At 43.3% G+C, this 20,184-nt stretch overlaps 1 protein-coding gene across 8 annotated transcripts, besides 8 other annotated features; it reads right to left on the reverse strand.

Annotated features, from left to right (window-relative positions):
* Positions 10,010 to 10,304: a silencer, noted in NCBI's record as "tiled region #1831; K562 Repressive non-DNase unmatched - State 18:Pol2". NCBI's record gives its function as "represses a minimal TATA promoter and a strong SV40 promoter by Sharpr-MPRA in K562 cells {active_cell/tissue: K562}" and the evidence as "EXISTENCE:reporter gene assay evidence [ECO:0000049][PMID:27701403]".
* HINT1 (histidine triad nucleotide binding protein 1) lies at positions 13,041 to 19,270 on the reverse strand. Of its 8 annotated transcripts, none has more exons than NR_134494.2 (5): positions 19,109 to 19,270; positions 16,586 to 16,690; positions 16,376 to 16,491; positions 14,670 to 14,898; positions 13,041 to 13,625 (listed from the first exon to the last, which is right to left on the reverse strand). NR_134494.2 is itself a non-coding variant. In NM_005340.7 (3 exons), exons 1-3 carry the CDS (start codon positions 19,217 to 19,219, stop codon positions 13,461 to 13,463), a joined length of 381 nt encoding a protein of 126 aa, NP_005331.1. In that variant the 5' UTR covers positions 19,220 to 19,270; the 3' UTR covers positions 13,041 to 13,460. The 8 variants fall into 8 exon arrangements, 3 of the variants coding, with proteins under 3 accessions (NP_005331.1, NP_001424878.1, NP_001424879.1); NR_073488.2 differs by having other exon boundaries at positions 19,074 to 19,270; NR_024610.3 differs by lacking the exon at positions 16,376 to 16,491 and having other exon boundaries at positions 14,670 to 14,858.
* Positions 17,999 to 18,659: an enhancer, noted in NCBI's record as "H3K27ac hESC enhancer chr5:130499678-130500338 (GRCh37/hg19 assembly coordinates)". NCBI's record gives its function as "activates a minimal SCP1, AML or CMV promoter by ChIP-STARR-seq in primed H9 embryonic stem cells {active_cell/tissue: H9 hESC(primed)}" and the evidence as "EXISTENCE:reporter gene assay evidence [ECO:0000049][PMID:30033119]".
* Positions 17,999 to 19,379: a biological region, named in NCBI's record as "H3K27ac hESC enhancers GRCh37_chr5:130499678-130500338 and GRCh37_chr5:130500339-130500998".
* Positions 18,450 to 19,089: a silencer, noted in NCBI's record as "silent region_16300". NCBI's record gives its function as "represses an Ori minimal core promoter by ATAC-STARR-seq in GM12878 lymphoblastoid cells {active_cell/tissue: GM12878}" and the evidence as "EXISTENCE:reporter gene assay evidence [ECO:0000049][PMID:35858748]".
* Positions 18,660 to 19,319: an enhancer, noted in NCBI's record as "H3K27ac hESC enhancer chr5:130500339-130500998 (GRCh37/hg19 assembly coordinates)". NCBI's record gives its function as "activates a minimal SCP1, AML or CMV promoter by ChIP-STARR-seq in primed H9 embryonic stem cells {active_cell/tissue: H9 hESC(primed)}" and the evidence as "EXISTENCE:reporter gene assay evidence [ECO:0000049][PMID:30033119]".
* Positions 19,300 to 19,379: a silencer, noted in NCBI's record as "silent region_16301". NCBI's record gives its function as "represses an Ori minimal core promoter by ATAC-STARR-seq in GM12878 lymphoblastoid cells {active_cell/tissue: GM12878}" and the evidence as "EXISTENCE:reporter gene assay evidence [ECO:0000049][PMID:35858748]".
* Positions 19,390 to 19,439: a silencer, noted in NCBI's record as "silent region_16302". NCBI's record gives its function as "represses an Ori minimal core promoter by ATAC-STARR-seq in GM12878 lymphoblastoid cells {active_cell/tissue: GM12878}" and the evidence as "EXISTENCE:reporter gene assay evidence [ECO:0000049][PMID:35858748]".
* Positions 19,590 to 19,639: an enhancer, noted in NCBI's record as "active region_23040". NCBI's record gives its function as "activates an Ori minimal core promoter by ATAC-STARR-seq in GM12878 lymphoblastoid cells {active_cell/tissue: GM12878}" and the evidence as "EXISTENCE:reporter gene assay evidence [ECO:0000049][PMID:35858748]".

The following is a 20,184-nucleotide window of genomic DNA, read 5'->3' on the forward strand; positions in this document are numbered from 1 at the left end:
AAGTGCTGGGATTAAAAGCCACTGTGCCCAGGCCATTATTAATCATTATTATGCTCATGTTGTCCCGAATTTGGCCAAAGGGAACCCCTTCAACCTAACTCCTATGTCTTTTTGACATAACCTCTCAGTCTTTGAGCACTTCCACTTCCCAGGCTACAACCACAGCAAGACACTCCATACTCACCTTGAACTTTCCCTGCCCCACACCTGCAATCAGCCATTTCTTTCACAGAAACCTGATGCCTTCTAGTAGAGAACGGTATTTAAAAACCAAGAGCTGAGTGTTATGTAGCATTTATTGTGACTAGGCCTTGACAGTAAAGAGAGCTAGATTTTCTTTTTTCAAAAAAAGTCATCAGCATAGACATACTTCTGAACTTTACAGGGGTTCTTTATCAACTTTTCCATCCCACGTGTTTATCTCCCTTCTTCCATAATGAAAACCTTGATTCCCATTCAAACCAATATCTTTACTCATACTATACAGACAAAAAATAATTTCACCATTACAACAACAACAAGTTTATGAGATAAAATTCAAAATTTCTTTGCATTTGTTCCTTGTCCTTAGAATTTGTCCTAGTAAGGATACAGGGTCAGTGTGCTGTGTTCAGAAGAAACTTGGATTATATTTTCTGTGTGTTTATGTTTTTAATATTTATCCACTGTTTACTTCATTTGGTTCTCTTCGTGTTTGATTTTAGGGTCTGCTTTTCTATCTTCTTTATTTACTTTTAGATTATTAACTCCTGGATATTTCCAGTCTTTCTTCATCCCTATCCATAATAGAAGGCTCATGCCTGTAGTCCAAGCACTTTGGGAGGCTGAGGCAAGCAGATCACTTGAGGTCAGGAGTTCAAGACCAGCCTGGCCAACATGGTGAAACCCTGTCTCTACTAAAAATACAAAAATTAGCCAGGCATGGTGGCACACACCTGTAATCCCAGCTACTCAGGAGGCTGAGGCACAAGAATCACTTGAACCTGAGAGGTGGAGGCTGCAATGAGCCAAGGTCATGCCACTGCACTCCAGCCTGGGCGACAGAGTGAGCCTCTGTCTCAAAAATAATAATAATAATAGTAATAATAATAATAATAATAAGAGAAGGTGCTAGTTTTGCCTGGCAATTTTTCTTTTTAAAGTTCTAAGGATGGTCCCAAAGTACCATTTAGGATCTCTTCGGATCTTCTAATATACAATTATAAAGAAAGAGGGAGAGAAATAAATGCAAGAGGTGCATGGAAGGAAGTTAATAAGGTATGAGAGAGTTCCCTTTCCATTTAAAGAGAGAGGCACAGGCATAGCTGTAGTATATAAGACAAGTAATTAAGAAAGGATCTTCAAGCAACCAAAAATAGCTTCCACACAAGAGAAAAGGACACTTCAGCTGAAAAGGGAGGCTCAGTAGGTTGGGAATTTGAGGTAGTCTGAGTCAGCCAAATTCTCCAACTTAGCTCATTCTAAATATTTAGATACTGCTCTTTCTTGATCAACATCCTGGCTTCCTCATAAGAGACTATATATAAGTCCATGAATTAAACCAATAAAATTTGGCAACCCTGAGGATCAAACACTGTGTCTGGCCTACAGTTGCTTCAGTTCTTCAGCTGCAAGAGCCTATGTCTTGCTAAATCTCTTACAGATCTTTGTAGCAGAGCCACAGAAGTTCCCTGGGTTTCTCTGATAACTTGAGCTAATAATTTAGAAATCTTGCCTTTTTTTTTTCTCCCCCAGGCTGTAGTACAATGGCCCCAACTCAGCTGACTGCAACCTCTGCCGCCCAGGTTCAAGTGATTCTCGTGCCTCAGCCTCCCGAGTAGCTGGGACTACAGGCACCCACTATCAAACCCAGCTAATTTTTGTATTTTTAGTAGAAACTGGGTTTCGCTATATTGGCCAGGCTGTCTCGAACTCCTGACCTCAAGTGATCCACCCACCTCGGCCTCCCAAAGTGCTGGGATTACAGGTGTGAGACACGGCACCCAGCCTTGTTATTACTTTTTAAGATGTTCAGCAATATTAGAAGCAGTCACAACACCTGCACAACCCTCAAATTCCATGCCTACCCTTTATGTGATCCTATGGCAATAGGATTTGGAAACCCAAAGCCTTGCCTTCAATTGGCATGTCACTGCAGGTGATCAAATAAATGATTTAATTAGCTATTTTGAGCCAAGTGTGATGGCATGGGCCTATCATCCCAACTACTTGGGAGGCTGAGTTGGAAGGGTCACTTGAGCCTGGGAGTTCAAGGCTGCAGTGAGCTATAATCCCCACTGCACTCCAGCCTGGGTGACAGAGGGAGACCTTGTCGCAAAAAAAAAAAAAAAAAAAAAAAAAAAACATATTTTGTTACTATTTGCCAAGGGCTGTGAAAATCCAATTCCTTAATGTTAGCTGGGTTCTCCTTGCCTCCATCCCAAACCAGGCCAATTAACCAACCCCAAGCTCTCCACCTACCCTTTCCCTATTGCCTGCAATCGCTTCTGCTAAGAATTTCTCCATCGGCTAATTTCTTGAAACTAATGAATGGCTCACAGATAAACTGGGAAAATAGGCAGGAATAAAGAGAAGCTATGCAGATAACTTCACAAACAAAAATAGAACCAGAGGCCAGGCATGGTGGCTCACACCTGTAATCCCAGCATTTTGGGAGGCCGAGGCAGGTGGATCACCTGAGATCAGGAGTTCGAGACCAGCCTGACCAACATGGAGAAACCCCATCTCTACTAAAAATACAAAATTAGCTGGGCATGGTGGCACATGCCTGTAATCCCAGCTACTCAGGAGGTTGAGGCAAGAGAATCACTTGAACCTGGGAGGCGGAGGTTGCAGTGAGCCAATATCGCACCATTGCACTCCAGTGTGGGCAACAAGAGCGAAACTCTGTCTCAAAACAAACAAACAAACAAAAACCAAAACATAGAACCAGAGAGCCAGTCTACTGGTATGCTGCTACCACTGCCACTGAACACAGGAACTGCAGTTTGCACTGTTGTCATCCCTGGTATTCAACATTGGATCCAAGGGTTGGCAACACAGACACTGTTGTGCTTGCCAACTTGATGCTGCTGCCACTGACACCAGAAAGAAATCTCCATTGTCCTTGTTTCTTTGTGTCATTAGTTTCAAATTCAAAATCCCAGATGAGTGCATCTGATTGGCAGAGCCTAGGTCAAGGGCCTACATCCTAGCTGGCAGAGGAGCTAGAATACTAGGTGTCTGTTCATTTCAGCTTCTCCTTTCGGAGGCAATGAATCCCTCAAATAGGAAGGGAGTTCAAAAGCTGGATGTTGATAATTACAAATGTCCATTACACATATGCTCTGTGCAAATGCCGCAGGATATAACATGTACACAGAGTTGTTTTTAGCAATACTTTTTTTTTTTTTTTGAGATGAGCTCTAGTTCTGTCACCAGGCTGGAGTCCAGTGGTGCCATCTCGGCTCGCTGCAACCTCTGCCTCCCGGGTTCAAGAGATTCTCCTGCCTCAGCCTCCCAAGTAGCTGGGATTATAGGCACGCATCTCCACACTCAGCTAGTTTTTATATTTTTAGTAGAGACAGGGTTTCACCATGTTGGCCAGCATGGTCTCGATCTCATGACCTCGTGATCTGCCCACGTCGGCCTCCCAAAGTGCTGGGATTACAGGCGTAAGCCACTGTGCCCGGCCAGCAATACTATTTTTAATACATATAACACAGTGCCTGTCTCATAGTGAGCATTAAACAAATAGCAACTCTTATTAATGTTATCATAATACTTTCATAATTACTATCATAATACTATCATAATCATGGTCATCACTATTACAAAACGTCAACCTACAGGGATCAATGAAAAAGGATTAAATAAGGTAACAAAAGTCTCAGGTAAACTGTAGGGACCAATGACAAAGAGGACTAGATGGCCCCTCCGGATCCCATGGCACTACATAACACCCTCCAGAAATTAAGTACCACCCCAGGGATGGGAGGGGAAAAACTCCAAATTGACTAAAAGTAAGTACCTTTCACCATAATGGATCAGAGACTCAAAACAGAAAAGTTGTTACAGAAAAACAAAAAGAGATATATTTATTACACATTTGAATGGCAGGCTGATATTTGTAACCACTATACCAATTTTCAGTTGTACTGTACTGGTCAAGCAAGATGCCTATTGGACCCTTTCAGGAAAGCTTCAGAGGACTTGCCACACGCCCTGTCCCTTTCTGTAAGTTTTTTTTTCTTTTTTTCTTTTCTTTTTTCTTTTTTTTTGAGACGGAGCCTCCCTCTGTCGCCCAGGCTGAAGTGCAATGGCACAATCTTGGCTCACTGCAACCTCTGCCTCCTGGGTTCAAGCGATTCTCCTGCGTCAGCCTCCAAAGTAGCTGGGATTACAGGCACCCAGCGTCATGCCTGGCTAATTTTTTTTGTTTTATTTTGTTTTTGTAGAGACAGGGTTTCACAGTGTTGGCCAGGCTGGTCTTAAACTCCTGACCTCAGGTGATCCGCCCGCCTCGGCCCTCCCAAAGTGCTGGGATTACAGGCATAAGCCACCGCGCCTGGTCCCTTTATATAAGCCTTTAAGAGGTCTGTACACACTGGCCACCATACCAGATTGCCTCACCGCAGTGAACACTGATCAGTCATTTGCAGGCTATCTATAGCTTATGAGGTGTTCTGGCCCCTGAGGTTTATGCCTCAGGAGCCCCTGTCCTCTCTTAGAAAGTATGAACTCAAGTCACACAAAGACACGGAAACAATTAGTCTTAATGGCAGGAGAGAAAGTAGCTGAGTCAACAGCATAATGGTGGTAGGGTAGACTCTTTAATGGCTCTATCTTCCTCCCATCCTAGTATGCATGCCCCTTTGCAATGTGACGTTTCTCCTTCTCACGTGCAAACATGAGGTCTATTTCTCAAAACCTTTCAACCTAGGCTGGCCTTTTAACTTGCTGTGACCAACAGAATGTGGTGGAAGTGATATTATGCAAGTTCTGAAGCCTAGGCCTCAAGAGATATTCCAGTATTTCTTTGACCTCTTGGATTGCTGCTCTGAGAATAGTAATCTGTGTAGAAGCTTAAGGTGAAAGACAACATGGAAACTGAGACAGAATAGGGACAGGGTTTGGCTTTAGCTCACCCCAAGAGCATCCTTTCATGATTCCCACTGATCACAAAATCCACACCACTACTTCACTGACACTATTTCCGCTAATAGTCGTATACAGAAAATAGCCAGTCTATATTGTTCTTTTGTGCACTCCTAATGTTTAACCATGCCTTTTACTTAAAGAATTCCAGAAACTGGTTTAGATCTAAAATCGAACAAAGGTTGCAGAGTGTCTCACCTGGGAAAGGAATGCTGAACAATAATTGATGTACAGCCTCGTTGCCGCTGGCCAGACCACCAGGTGGCCCATTACTCAATATAAGCACTGCAACTAGATATGGGAACCTGTATACCCTGCCCCTACATGTTCTGCCCAGCCCAGCCTTCATACCCTACCCCTGATGTCAATTCCCACACTTTGCCTGATAAAAAAAAAATTCCCTACAGGCTTTTTTCAGAGTCAGCTGGAGGATCCTTGCGCCTCTGTTGTTTCCCTTGTTTTCTCTCTCTTTTTTTTTTTTTTTTTTTTTTTTTTTGAGATGGAGTTTCGCTCTTGTTGCCCAGGCTGGAGTGCAATGGTGCAATCTCAGCTCACCGCAACCTCCGCCTTCTGGGTTCAAGCAATTCTCCTGCCTCAGCCTCCTGAGTAGCTGGGAAGCTGGGATTACAGGCATGCGCCACCACGCCAGGCTAATTATGTATTTTTAGCAGGGGGTTTCTCCATTTTGGTCAGGCTGGTCTTGAACTCCCGACCTCAGGTGATCCACCCACCTCGGCCTCCCAAAGTGCTGGAATTACAGGCGTGAGCCACCGCGCCCAGCCTTTCCCTTGTTTTCAAGCACAAGCCCAGAAAAAAAAGGCTTGTCTGGGAAATCTGCTTGTTCCCCTGTTAATTTCCATTACATGGGGAGCCAAAGAGCCTGTGGTGTGTAACTAAACCATGCCAACTGTCCCAGCTAAATCCGTCCCCCTGCAACCCCCTAGCTGAATGTAGCTGCATGAGTGAGCCCAGGTGAAATAAGTAGAACTGCCCAAATGACCCACAAAATCATAAGGAATAATAAATGGTAATTAATTTAAACTAAGTTTGGGATTGTTTATTACTGTGTGACCTCAATGTAAGGAAACAAGAGACTGAGGGGCCCTAGAGAGAGGACTCCAGAGACCCCAGCTGACTACAAGTACCAACCATGATACATCTGAGTGGGGTCATCTTGGACTTTCTAACCCTCAACAGAACACAGCGGCATGAATAAGATCAGGCAAAACAGCACAGAAACCACCTAGTTGGTCTATAGAATCTTGAGGAATAATAAATAGTGACTTCTCTCTCTCGCTCCCATATTTTGTCTATTGGCAAATTGTGCTGGCTCTATTTTCAAAATACACGCTGAATAGGATCACTACTCATCAGCTCTAACGCTACCTACTGGACCAAGCCATCATCTATAATGTGGGTTATAAAATGGTCTCCTAACAAGTCTTTTTGGAATGATTAAAACATCTTCTATCTTGATTGTGGTCAAATTCATCAAGCTGTACACTTTTTATGGGTAGATTTTATTGTATTAATAACTAATGCTTCAAAAGTCCTGACTTAAAAAAGTAACATGAAACCACTCAAGCTTTCAAGTCATTTTCAAAGCACAATAAATCCATGTTAAACCAACTGCATATTTTTTAAGACAAGTGCAAAATAACCTTTGGTATGAAATAAAGGGGCAAAACCAGCTATAGAAACATCAAATTTTACTCTAAATAAGCAAATGCATGTACAAGTCACACTCTTTCTGAGAAGCTGATAGAACATAATTATAATAAACATAGGGAGAAAACTTAATAAGCTGATATAGGCAGAAATCTCTTTATTAAATGATCCTGTATATCATAGGAAGCAATTCAAGGAGCAGCTACTATCATCAGCCAGTGCTCTCAGTTTGCTTTACGGTTGAATGAAAAGGCTGATATGCAGACTTTGAATAAGTTGTTGACATATTTGCAATACATATTTGAAAGAGAAGGACTTAACCAACTTTTGTTCTCTTTAACTAAAGAGCTTTTGACCAGGCATGGTGGTTCACGCCTGTAATCCCAGCACTTTGGAAGGCTGAGGGGGGAGGATCACTTGAGTCCGGTAGTTGGAGACCAGCCTGAGCAACAAAGCAAAATCCCATCTCCATAAAAAATAGAAAAACAGCCAGGTGAAGCTACTCAGGAGGCTGAGGTAGGAGGATTACTTGAGCCCGGGAGGTCAAGGCTGCAGTGAAAGGTCATTGTGCCATTGCACTCCAGCCCGGGTAACAGAGTGAGACCGTGTCTCAAAAAAAAATGAAAAAGAGTGAGGAAGGCTTTTGAAAATTTACTTATTATTTTGCAAGCCATAATGTAAATAGAAAAAAAATGTAATCAGTATGATAAAGCACCAGAAATGAGTGCAGCAAAGAAGGAGCTTTGCTTGGAATTACAGTTGCACCCACTATTCACAGAAATAGGGGATGGTCAACAAAATGCCTCCTGGTCTTGACTCAGTGTTGGAGAAACGAGTAAATATAGCCAAATTGCAACTACCTAATCAGTCCTTTCAGCACCTTGGCAAGGTCTAAGAATGCCTGGCTGCTTTTCCAGTCACGAACACTGGCTATCAGTGATGGGGGATATACTGTGACCTACCTGTCAGTATCAACTCTAGATTTATTCCTTTCTAGTTTAATTCTGGGCAGCAAGATACCCAACCCGTCTTATATCTTGGGATGACCAATAATACCTAAGCAGAAGGTCTTGAAGGACCTCCGTAAAAGCTCTTTTTAAAAGGGCCATAATGCTGACATGACTTTTTGCCATTTTGCTTCCCTCTCTTTCTTTTTGATGGGGGAATCTGAGAGCTGGAGCTGCATCAATCCATGCATCATGAAGTGACCTTGAGGATATAAAGGATGGTAGAGAAGAAAGATAGGAGCCTGAATTCTTGCTGATACACGAAGGTGACAAAAGAGCCCTGGGCCGGGCGCGGTGGCTCACGCCTGTAGTCCCAGCACTTTGGGAGGCCGAGGCGGGCGGATCACGAGGTCAGGAGATCGAGACCATCCTGGCTAACACGGTGAAACCCCGTCTCTACTAAAAATACAAAAAATTAGCCGGGCGTGGTGGCGGGCGCCTGTAGTCCCAGCTACTCGGGAGGCTGAGGCAGGAGAATGGCGTGAACCCGGGAGGCGGAGCTTGCAGTGAGCCGAGATCGCACCACTGCACTCCAGCCTGGGCGACAGAGCGAGACTCCGTCTCAAAAAAAAAAAAAAAAAAAAAAAAGAGCCCTGGATTGCCACCTTAGGGGGTTCTATAACTAGAAAGAAAAAAATAAGCCTTATTATCCCATCTAAATCTGCTTTTTTTGTTTTTGTTATTATGTAGGCTAATTCTAACCTACATAAATGAAAAATACGCTTTTTTTTTTTTTTTGGTAGACAGGGTCTCGCTCTACCACGCAGGTTGGAGTGCAGTGGCATGATCTTGGCTCAGTGCAACCTCTGCCTCCCAGGATAAAGCAGTCCTCCCACCTCAGTCTCCCAGCACCTCAGCCTCCCAAGCAGCTGGAACTACAGGTGCACGCCACCATACCAGCTAATTTTTTTTTCTATTTTTTGTAGAGACGAGGTTTAGTCATGTTGCCCAGGCTGGTCTTGAACTCCTGGGCTCAAGTGATCTTCCCACCTTGGTCTCCCAAACTGTTGAGGTTACAGGCGTGAGCCCACACCTGGCAAGAATACACATATATTAAAATAAAGATTAAAGATCACTCTGATTTTCTCAGTGGCTTACTCAAGGAAATTATTTCAATGATAAACTAAGTTCCTCAAATGACCTGAACTTATCACTTCAGTTCTAAAATATAACATTTAATATTAAAGATAAGAGTCAATTCTCACATAGCCTCCTCAGATCAGTTCAATCAAGATGTGGTATTGGCTGGGTGCATGGCCCACACCTGTAATCCCAGCACTTTGGGAGGCCGAGGTGAGCAGATCACCTGAGGTCAGGAGTTTGAGACTAGCCTGGCCAACATGGTGAAACCCTGTCTCTACTAAAAATGAAAAAAAAAAAAAAAAAAAATTAGCTGGGAGTGGTGGTGCATGCCTGTAACCTCAGCTACTTGGGAAGCTGAGCCACAAGAATCACCTGAACCTGGGAGGCAGAGGTTGCAGTGAGCCAAAATCACATCACTGCACTCCAGCCTGGGCAGCAGAGACTCTGGCTCAAAAAAAAAAAAAAAGTGGTGCTATGGTCCCCACAGGAACTGGCTTACACTCTACTTAAAAGCCCAATTGTTATCTCCAAGTTCTAACCCCTCTTTACCCAGGCAATCTCAACCTCTGAGCTATTTCTAAGAGCAGAACAATCAAATAGGCTGCTATGATTGTTAAAATCCCAAGCCACCTCATATAAAGAAGTTTCATCACTCCTGAATCATAGGTCTTGTATTAATTACAATAAATACTCCTAAGTATTATTACCCAAACCCTGAAATCTCAGTGGCTTAACAAATAAAATTCAATGTGGGTCAGGAGTGTGGCAAATACTCCCCGATGCAGTCATTTGGAGACTCAAGCTCATTCCATCAAACATCTCAATCTCCTCTGTTGAATCCTTTCTGCATCTTGTCAACTAAAGAAAAGAAAAAGCAAAGAAGAGTGCATGGGAGATATTTCAGGGTCTTGGAAATGACATACATCAGTTCCTCACACATTTCATTAACCAGACAATAGGTATATGGCCCCACACAGCTGAAAGGATGCAGGGAAATGCAGTCTAGCTGTATGCTAAAAAAGAAAAAAAAATTAAGACAACAGGGTATTTTGGTTAGCATTGCTGTTACAAATTACCCCAAAACTTGGTGACTTTATTATCACTCCATTTCTGTGGATCAGGAATTTGGGAGATTCGACAGGTGTTTGTACTGTGGGGTCTTTCTCATGAGGTTGCAGTCAGATGCTAATCAGGACTGCAGTCATCTTGAAGGCTCAACTGGGGCTGGGGAGGGTCTGCTTCCAAGATGGTTTATTTGCATAGCTGACATATTGCTGGCTGTTGGCAGGCCTGAGTTCCTCTCAACATAACGCCTTTCCAGTGGGCTGCTTGAGGGTCCCTGGCCATAGCAGCTGGCTTTCCCAAGTAACTTAGTCTGTTCTGGCTGCTAGGAAAGAATACCATAGCAGCCTGGGCAACATGGTGAAAACCCATCTCTACAAAAAACACAAAAATTACCCAGTGTGATGGTATGAACCTGTAGTTCCAGGTACTCAGGTGGGAGGATCACCTGAGCCCAGGGAGGTCGAGGCTGCAGGGAGCCATGATCATGGCACTGCACTCCAGCCTGGGTGACAGAGTAAGAAAAACCCTGTTTCGGGGGAAAAAAAAAGAATACTATAGACTTGGGTGGCTCATAAACAACAGCAATTTATTTCTCACAGTTCTAGAGGATGGGAAGTCTAAGATCAAGGCACTGGCAGATTCAGTATCTGGTGAGCCCACTTCCTGGTTTGTAAGGACTTTATTCTCATTGGGTTCCCACATGGTGAAAGGGGCAGGAGCTCTCCAAAGTCTCTTTCATAAGGGCACTCATCCCACTTATAAAAGCTCTGGCCTCATCATTTAATCTCCTAACAAAGACCCCACCTCCTAATACCATCACATTGGAGGTTAGAATTTCAACATACGAATTTTGGGAAACATAAATATTCAGTCAATAGCAGTGAGCAATCCAAGAGACTACAGTGTAAGTCATAATGCCTTTTGTGATGCAGCCTCAGAAATCACACTATCATTTGTACCATACTGTTTATTACGGACCAGTTCAGATTCGATGAGAAACACAAGGGTGCAAATACCAGAAGTGAAGATCCTTGTGGGCTATCCTGGAGACTGGCTACCACATGAGGTTTGGTGAATATATGCCACAAGACAGTTTTGGGCAGAGAGGTCACAGACAGAACCAGCAAGACAACTTGGTGGTTGTCTATCTGATTTATTAACACCAGCTTAACTAAATCAGTGGGAAAGACAATATGCATGATAAAAGCCCAGCCAACCCTCTTATACATAATACAAATGCATCTCATTATTTCATTCTTTACTGTGGCACAAATCCCTCCAAAACTCCTCCCTACACCTTCCCTCAACATAAAATAAAAAGTCATAAAAGTACTAGGAAAGGCCGGGCGCAGTGGCTCACGCCTGTAATCCCAACATTTTGGGAGGCCGAGGCGGGTGGATCACCTGAGGTCAGGAGTTCGAAACCAGCCTGACGAACAAGGAGAAACCCCGTCTCTACTAAAAATACAAAATGGTGGCACATGCCTGTAATCCCAGCTACTCAGGAGGCTGAGGCAGGAGAACTGCTTGAACCTGGGAGGCAGAGGTCACAGTGAGTTGAGACTGCACCATTGCACTCCAGCCTGGGCAACAAGAGCGAGACTCAGCCTCAAAAAAAAAGTACTAGGAAAAAAAGAATAATATTTTAAAATCCTCTTAGGGTGGGAAAGGCTTATGAAATAAATTTAAGATGGATGTATTAACCATATAAACATTTTAAACACCATAAACAAAGTAAGGAGACAAATGACAAATTGGGAAAAAATTATGTGTTGCACATAAAAAGCCAATTTCCCTCCTCTCCCCACCTCCAAAAAAAAAAAAAAAAACTATTTTAAAAAATCACTAACAGGAAATAAAATTTTAAGAAAAACAACTCAATTAAATGTGTCAAAACCCTACAGCAATCTTTTTAGAGATTAAAAATGGAAGGATGGGCACAGTGGCTCACACCTGTAATCACACCTGTAATCCCAGAACTTTGGGAGGCCAAGGTGGGTGATCACCTGAGGTCAGGAGTTCGAGACCAGCCTGGCCAACATGGTGAAACCCCATCTCTACTAAAAATACAAAAATTAGCTAGGCATGGTGGTGTGCGCCTGTAGTCCCAGCTACTTGGGAGGCCAAGGCAGAATTGCTTGAACCTGGGAGGCAGAAATTGCAGTGAGCCAAGATCGTGCCACTGTATTCCAGCTTGGATGACAGGATGACTATCTCACAAAAAAAAAAAAAAGGAAAAAACCTGTAAGTATGAAGAGAATGAGAGAAGAAACAAAAAAAAATTATTAAATTTTGGAAGCTGGAAAGTGCCTACACAAAGGAAAGCAAAGAAGCAAAGCTATTAACCTTGTATTAAATAGAACCTTAGAGGCCGGGAGTGGTGGCTCACACCTGTTAATCTCAGCACTTTGGGAGGCCAAGGCAGGCGGATCACCTGAGCTCAGGAGTTCGAGACCAGCCTAGCCAACATAGTGAAACCCCATCTCTACCAAAAATACAAAAATTAGCCGGGCATGGTGGCACACGCCAGTAATCCCAGCTACTCGGGAGGCTGGGTGAGGCAGAATCACTTGAACCTGGGAGGTGGAGATTGCATTGAGCTGAGATCGCACCACTGCACTGCAGCCTGGGCAAAACAGCGAGACACTGTCTCAAAAAAAAAAAAAATTTAAAAAAACAGAACCTTAGAAAGGCCAGGGTACATGGTGAGACTAAAAACAAAAGGTTGGTTGTCGGTCTACATGAAAACCCAGACCCTGACAAGTTCCCTTTCCTACTCTATATGACGTAGCCAGATTCGTGCACAACTTAAATACGTTTATTAATGTGTGCATACACATTTAGAACAGTGGGGTTTCAATTGGAAAAATGAATTCTAGGTAAAATGTTTTCAAGTCTTTATAATATTCAGATGGGGTTTAAACAGCAAGGAAATACCAATGTATGGCTTTACATGGTCATCAAAGATTGTGTGACAAACCTACTTTCATCCCTTCCAAATTACGCCCAGAGTCCAGGGGCAATGTGGGCTGAACATAAAGCACTGTTTCTAAACCCAAAATGGTCAATTTCCTATGTTCTTAGAAAATGTGAGAATTAGCTTAAAAATCTAAGTTGGACCTATTTTAGCCTGGAAAGATATTTCGAAGTTAAAGCTAAATTTATAAACTCTCATTATTTGTCTTCAAAGACTAGTAACACCATTAAAACAATGCGATGTTCATATGTTGAGTCCTCCTTGGGAAGAAAAAGCAAGAAACATCCAAAATTATAAACCCACCTTCACATATTCCAACAAATATGTTTTTAAAATAACAAATCAAACGCAACACTCAGAGAGACTATAAGCCATGCAACAATGTCTTTTATTATGTATGCGGTTTTAAAATTATTTCTTGAATCTCTCCATACACAGGCAAAAATAAGTGTGTTACTTAACATACTGGAAATTGCCTAACTTAATCATTGCCTAAAGAAGAGAAAATTATCCCCAAAACGTGCTTAACCAGGAGGCCAATGCATTTGCCGACCTCCAAGAACATGGAGATGAACGTGATAGACAGACTGTCCACCATCTGAACCTTCATTCACCACCATTCGATAACCCTTATTCAGGCCCAGATCAGCAGCACATTTCTTGCCAACAATCATTAAGTGTCCAAGAAGCTGGAAAAGGAAAAAAAGTTTCTTAGGCACAGGCAATTTATTACTTCTTGCCATTAAATAACAAACTGTCAAGCTGAAATATCAAATCTTAAAACTCTCATTGAAACACAACCCTTTGAGCAAATATTTGGAAACTCTTAATCCCAACAGAGCATAATCTACAACTGGAGACTCATTAAGATTAGGTATTTATCATTACTAATTTCAAGAAACAAATTAGAAATAAAATCTGCTGTTCAATTAAACTTTTTTTTTTAAGAGATGGGGTCTTGCTCTGTCACTCAGACTGGAGTGCAGTGGCACGATCTCAGCTCACTGCAGCCTCGACCTCCCAGGTTGAAGTGATCCTCCTGCCTCACCCACCCAAGGAGCTGGGACTACAAGCACATGCCACCACACCCGGCTAATTTTTGTATTTTTTTGTTGAGATGGGGCTTCTCCAATGTTGTCCAGGCTGGTCTCGAACTCCTGCGCTTGGGCAATCTGCCCACCTTAACTTCCAAAGTGCTGGGATTACAGGCACAAGGCACTATGCCCAACCAAAAAAAAAACTTAATTATATTCCAAGTGCTGTTTTAAGTTTTCTTAATAAAGCAAGACATCTTGCTTTCTTTATGACTTCCTTATGACCATTATGGATTTTCCTTTGAACACTACCAGATCTATTGCATTGTCGGGACTTGCAGGATCCTGTGGCAAATACCTAGTCTCGCTCTGTGTCATCCTGTTTGTTTTTTGGTTCTATCTACAGTCAATTTGTCTCTATTTACACATGGAGTCTATTTGTATGTTGCCAGCTTTCTTCCCTAATAAAAGTTAAAGGGGAGAAGGTTGCCAAGAGAAAAGAACTTTAACTCCCATTTCACTGCTTATGCTTTCCCATTATGAGAGAAAAAAGTTGGGAGGGTTAACTTCAACATTCTAAAAAGCTCTCAGGAAAGGGAACTCCTTTAATTCCTTTGGCAAGAAAAGAGGGAAGGGAGAGAGTCTTACATTTCTATTCCCATTACCTTATTAAGCCCCAGGACAGTGGACTCTGCTTACCTTACTCATGCAGTAAGGTCCATTGTACAGATGGACAATGGACAAAAATTGTAAGTTGGGGAAATTATGATTTTTCAACTTTACAATGGTGTGGCGATATGCATTCAGGAGAAACCATACTTCGAATTCTGATCCTTTTCCAGACTGGTGATATGCAGTAAAATACTCTTACATGAGATATTCAACACTCTGTTACAGAATAGGCTCTGTATTAGATGATTTTGCCCAACTGTAGGTTAACGTTAAGTGTTCCGAGCAAGCTTAAGTTAGACTAGGCTAGGCTATAATGTTCAGTAAGTTAGGTGTCTTACACGCATTTTCAACAGACATACAATATTTTCAACTTATGATGGGTTTATCAGCATGTAAGCCCATCTTAAGTTGATGAGCATCTATATAAAATTTTGTACAGCAGATACCTATATTGGTCACAACATTTAATTATGAATTAGCACGGTTTTAAAGCTGGTTCAGTAAACGTTTCCTGGCCAACAACTGTCTTCTAAGTAAAAGAGATGACCTTAAAACACTAATTTAGAATGTTAACTGAGTAAAAATTAACATTTTATTGTCCTTACAGAAAAGAGCTGCATTTGAGTAAGAAGCTCTGACCTTAAAATGCCATGACTGTCTAATTATACTAAATGTTAAAAATTTGTATTCTGGGGCTGGGCGTGGTGGCTGACACCTGTAATCCCAGCACTTTGGAAGGCTGAGGCGGGTGGATCACGTGAGGTTGGGAGTTCGAGACTAACCTGACCAACATGGAGAAACCCCATCTCTACTAAAAATACAAATAAGCCAGGCGTGATGGCATGCCTGTAATCCCAGCTACTCAGGAGGGCAGGGGAATCGCTTGTACCCAGGAGGCAGAGGTTGCGGTGAGCCGAGATCGTGCCATTGCACTCCAGCCTGGGCAACAAGAACGAAACTCCGTCTCAAAAAAAAAAAAAAAAGAAAAAAATGTATTCTGAGGGTTTAATGTTATTGCATATAAGACGGTATTTTACCATTAAGTACTCGCTCTAATCTTTGAACTCTGTGATTTGTACAAATATATTGAATTAAAAATTAATGCCTTGAAGTTTCTAAGTTTCAGAAATAATGTCTCACTTTAAAAAGGTATCCCCAAGTAAATACAACTGACCCTTGCACAACATGGGTTTGACCCGTGCAGGTCTACTCATATGCAAATTTTCTTCTGCCTCTGCCACCCCTGAGACAGCTACAGCTAGACCAACCCCTCGTCTTCCTCAGCCTACTCAACATGAAGATGACAGGGATGAAGACCTTTATGATTCACTCGACTTAATAAATAGTAAATATATTTTCTCTTCCTTATGATTTTCTTAATAACCTTTTCTCTAGCTTACTTTAAGAATATAATAGGCCAGGAACGGTGGCTCACGCGTGTAATCCCAGCACTTTGGGAGGCCGAGGCGGGCGGATCACGAGGTCAGGAAATCGAAACTATCCTGACTAACATGGTGAAAGCCGTCTCTACTAAAAATACAAAAAATTAGCCAGCCTTGGTGGCGGGCGCCTGTTGTCCCACTACTCGGGAGGCTGAGGCAGGAGAATGGTGTGAACCAGGGAGGTGGAGCTTGCAGTGAGCCGAGTGCCACTGCACTGCAGCCTGGGCGACAGAGCAAGACTCTGTCTCAAAAAAAAAAAAAAAAGGTAATAGCAAGTGTTGATAAGGATACGGAGAAGCTGGAACGCTCATTCATTGCTGGTGGGATACAAAATGATGCAGTAACTTTGGAAAACAGCTGGGCAGTTGAAGTCCTAATGGTTTTTCTGGTTTTTCCTTAGTAATGACCTTAGGAAGATGAAAATGTGACAGCACTTTAAGGACAAAATTAATCTCACAATTTAAAAAGCAAGAAAATAAATCATGTTAGAAATGTACTTACACTTTCATCATCATCTTCTGCCACAGAAATCTGGGATATATGTTTCTTGGGTATCACCAGAAAATGTGTTGGTGCTTGAGGGGAAATGTCATGGAAAGCAAGGCACTAGGGAAAAGAGAAATAAATAAATAAATCAAACTTTTAGTATATTGGTAGGATAAAACTTATTTCAACAAGTATTTACTGAGCAGTAACTACATGGAGGGCACTAGATGCTAAGAAAACAGAAGTGTACACATTACGAATGGTGCCGTGGTCCTTTCCATGGAAGTCTTTTTTTTTTTGAGATGGAATCTCACTCTGTCACCCAGGCTGTAGTGCAATGGCATGATCTCAGCTCACTGCAACCTCCGCCTCCTGGGTTCAAGTGATTCTCTTGCCTCGGCCTCCCAAGTAGCTGGGATTACAGGCACGTGCCATCATGCCCAGCTAATTTTTGTGTTTTTGTAGAGACGGGGTTTCACCATGTTGTCCAGGCTGGTCTCGAACTCCTGACCTCAGGTGATCCACCTGCCTCGGCCTCCCAGAGTGCTGGGATTACAGGCGTGAGCTACTGCACCCGGACTCCATGGAAGTCTTATGGGAAGACCAACTTTAAAAGTATAATCACCAAAGGTCATACATGTTACAAAGGAAAAATATGAATGATCATTACAGGAAAAGCCTGATTTAGATTAAGTGTTTAAGAACAACTCTGAGGCAGTGACATTTAAACTGGGAGCCAATGAATGCATAAAAATTGGCCATGCTAATCCTTGCCTGCCTCTCCAGATCTCCTGCAGGTCTTCACATGGAACTGGCCTTCTGAGCTCTCTGCCCTCAGAGCTTTTTCAATGATCCTCTCCCCCTCCAAACCCCAACTTCCGTCTAATTTAAACTGCTAGTCATTCCGCCATTCCATTCCCAGCACATACATGATTTCTGGGAGAAAAAAGAAAAAACAGAAAAAAACCTCTGATTGCCCTCCCCGTCCCATTACTCCCAGGTCAGAGTCCTAGTTGTGCAATTTCCTGGTTTTTTTTTTTTCTTTATGATAGCAATCAGTTTTGTAACTACATATTTGTCTGATACTTGATTAATATCTATTCTCACTTTACTCAACTATTTAAGAAATATACCTATCCTTTTGTGTAAAGCTGAAGAGTATATATATGATATTCTTTAGCATTTAGACTAATTATTTAAAACAGTGTCTGTAAATACACATATGACATGAATATTTTCGAATCTCTTGCTCACTGCTGAAGTGAAAGCTGTTTTAATAAAACCCATCCACACTTATTTGTCTCAGGAGTAATTCTACTGGGTACTCCCTACAAAATGCTGATTCATTTAGAATGCTTCCTGCCGTTCTACAGTTGGACTTCGGTGGTTCAAATGTAAATTTTTCAAGAACCATTTCTCAAAGGCAACTGCGAACTTTAAAAAGAAATATTTTTTCTAAAACCAAAGAATTTCCCCTGAGTAGAGACAAAGTATTTTTTTTTTTAATTTACCTAGAGGAACCTAATTAAATTTTTGATAACGTTTTGAATCTAACCGACATTAGTAGAATAAATGTTTTTCTTAGATTTTATATTTCCTAAATTTAACAAAACTGTTTACAAAATTTGTTCTATCTAAATCAGCCAATCTGCCCAGCTTTATCTGAGATCCAATCCCAAAAATACAACTGGCCACTAAATAATTTACACAAGATATCTCAAAGTCACATCAACTGGGATTTCACCTACAAGAAGTCAACAAAAACTACAGTCTTAGTCTCTTGGCATAAAATTACTTCCTGTTGAATACAAAAAGAATCATTCAGCTGTTTGTAAGTCCAAAATGTTCAGCGGGAGAGGTCAACGGAAAGCAAATCCCAGACGCGGGCCCACTTCTTATCTCAGGAGATCGCCTCGCTAGCCCAGGGTAGGCCTTGGGGTGGAGATAGGGATAGGGGTAGGGGTGAGGGTGGCAAGCCGCACCCCGCGGAGGAAGCCGGCAGGCCCAGACGGCCCGCGCACCTCCCAGCGCCCCTGGGGCCCTCGAGCACAATGCCTTGCTGAGCAGCGCCCAGGAACGCCGGGCCCTGGCAGGCCGGCTGTGCGCGGGAGATCGCGGAGATTGGGCCTGAGTCAGGGCGCGATCGGGTTTCTCTCTGTCAGGCAGAGCGCTGGCGAGATTTCGAGATTCCTGATACAGGCAAGGTCCGAGGCAGCCGGGGAACCGGCGGGCTTCCACGCGGGGGCCCCAGTGCGCCCCGACACGCGCCCAGGCCCCGCGGTGCGGCACTCAGGGCGCCCGGCGGCCTGGCCCGCGCCCGGGGCAGATAACGAGTAACCGGAGCGCCGGCACGCGCCGGCAGGCCGCCTCGGAGTGCCCGGGCCCTGTCCGCTGGCTGGGGGCCCGCTGGACCAGGGCAGCCAGGTCCCCTCCCGTCGCCGCTACACTCGCGACCCCTCCTCTCCCTCCGCGAGAAACCCGAGGATCCGCGGACGATACCCACCTCAGCAGGCGAGAGAGGTGGTGCCCAGTACCTACCCGGTCATCCTCAAAAATGATTTTGGCTGGTATTTCCTTGCGGATGATCTTCCCAAAGATCGTGTCGCCACCAGGCCGAGCGACCTGAGCCTTGGCAATCTCATCTGCCATCTCGGCCTCTCTCCCGCGCGGCGGCCAGAGGAGAGGCTCGGAAGAAGGGAGGAACCCGCAGAGCGTGCGGCGCGAGAGGGCGCAGCCAAGCCTGCGCAGGTGCCCCGGCTCTGGCGCCCCACCTAATCTTGCGCGTGCGCACTGGCGACCTGGGCTGCGAGTGCGGCCAGCGCGCTAGAGCGCCTCAGGGACCTCCGGCTTGGGGAAGTTCCTGGTCTTGAGCTCCAAGGAGATTCCTAAGTCGTTTTTCTATCCTCCTTTCTTGTCTCCTGGGGAATGCAGTTACTGGTATAAACCCTTCGTCTGCCTATGGATGCTTGTAGGGAAAGTTGGATACTGTAACTGACAAGATTTGATAATTTAAGTGGTGCTGGCTGCAACTTAGCACTTAGATTATTTAAGGTCTTGCTGCTGCAGCAGATTTTAAGTCCTCTCTTCAACAGAGTTTTTTTCTCTCTCTACCAGTGGTTCTCAATCTTGACTACACATTAAGATCACTTGGGGAGCTTTTAAAAATCCCCGTGAACCTGGCTGCAGCCCAGATCCATTAAATAAGAATCTTTGGAGATGAGCCCCAGGCATCAGTAGTTTGTAAACCTCCCTAGACTGCTCTGCAAAGAATTTTTCCCAGCAGCAATCAACATAATGTATTAATAAAATGACCCACTTTAAAAAAAAAAACCTTCCTTAATCCCACATCCCCCTCCGTATCTTTGCTCGTTTTATAAAGAAGTTTTCTACATACCATGTCTGCTTTCTTATCTTTCATTTTTGAGTCCATTTCCCTCTTGTCAAGGTCACTAAGGACATCCATTTATAAAATCCTATAGACAATTACAGTTATCATACCAGACCTCTAAGTGTACGTATTAAGAAAAAGTATACCTCCTCAATGCCTTTTTTTTTTTTAGATAGATTCTTGCTCTGTCGCCCAGGCTCGACTGCAGTGGCACAATCTCGGCTCA

Source organism: Homo sapiens, chromosome 5 (assembly GCF_000001405.40).
Source record: "Homo sapiens chromosome 5, GRCh38.p14 Primary Assembly".
Lineage (NCBI taxonomy): Eukaryota > Metazoa > Chordata > Mammalia > Primates > Hominidae > Homo > Homo sapiens.

What these genes read in the sequence shown, in the direction of transcription:
- HINT1 (NM_005340.7), bottom strand. Translation starts at nt 19,219, where the DNA reads ATGGCAGATGAGATTGCCAAGGCTCAGGTCGCTCGGCCTGGTGGCGAC. An exon ending in TCATTTTTGAGGATGACCGG is followed by an intron (nt 16,691 to 19,108) that starts GTAGGTACTGGG and finishes TCTTTTCCCTAG; the next exon opens with TGCCTTGCTTTCCATGACAT. An exon ending in CAGAAGATGATGATGAAAGT is followed by an intron (nt 13,626 to 16,585) that starts GTAAGTACATTT and finishes TTCCTTTTCCAG; the next exon opens with CTTCTTGGACACTTAATGAT.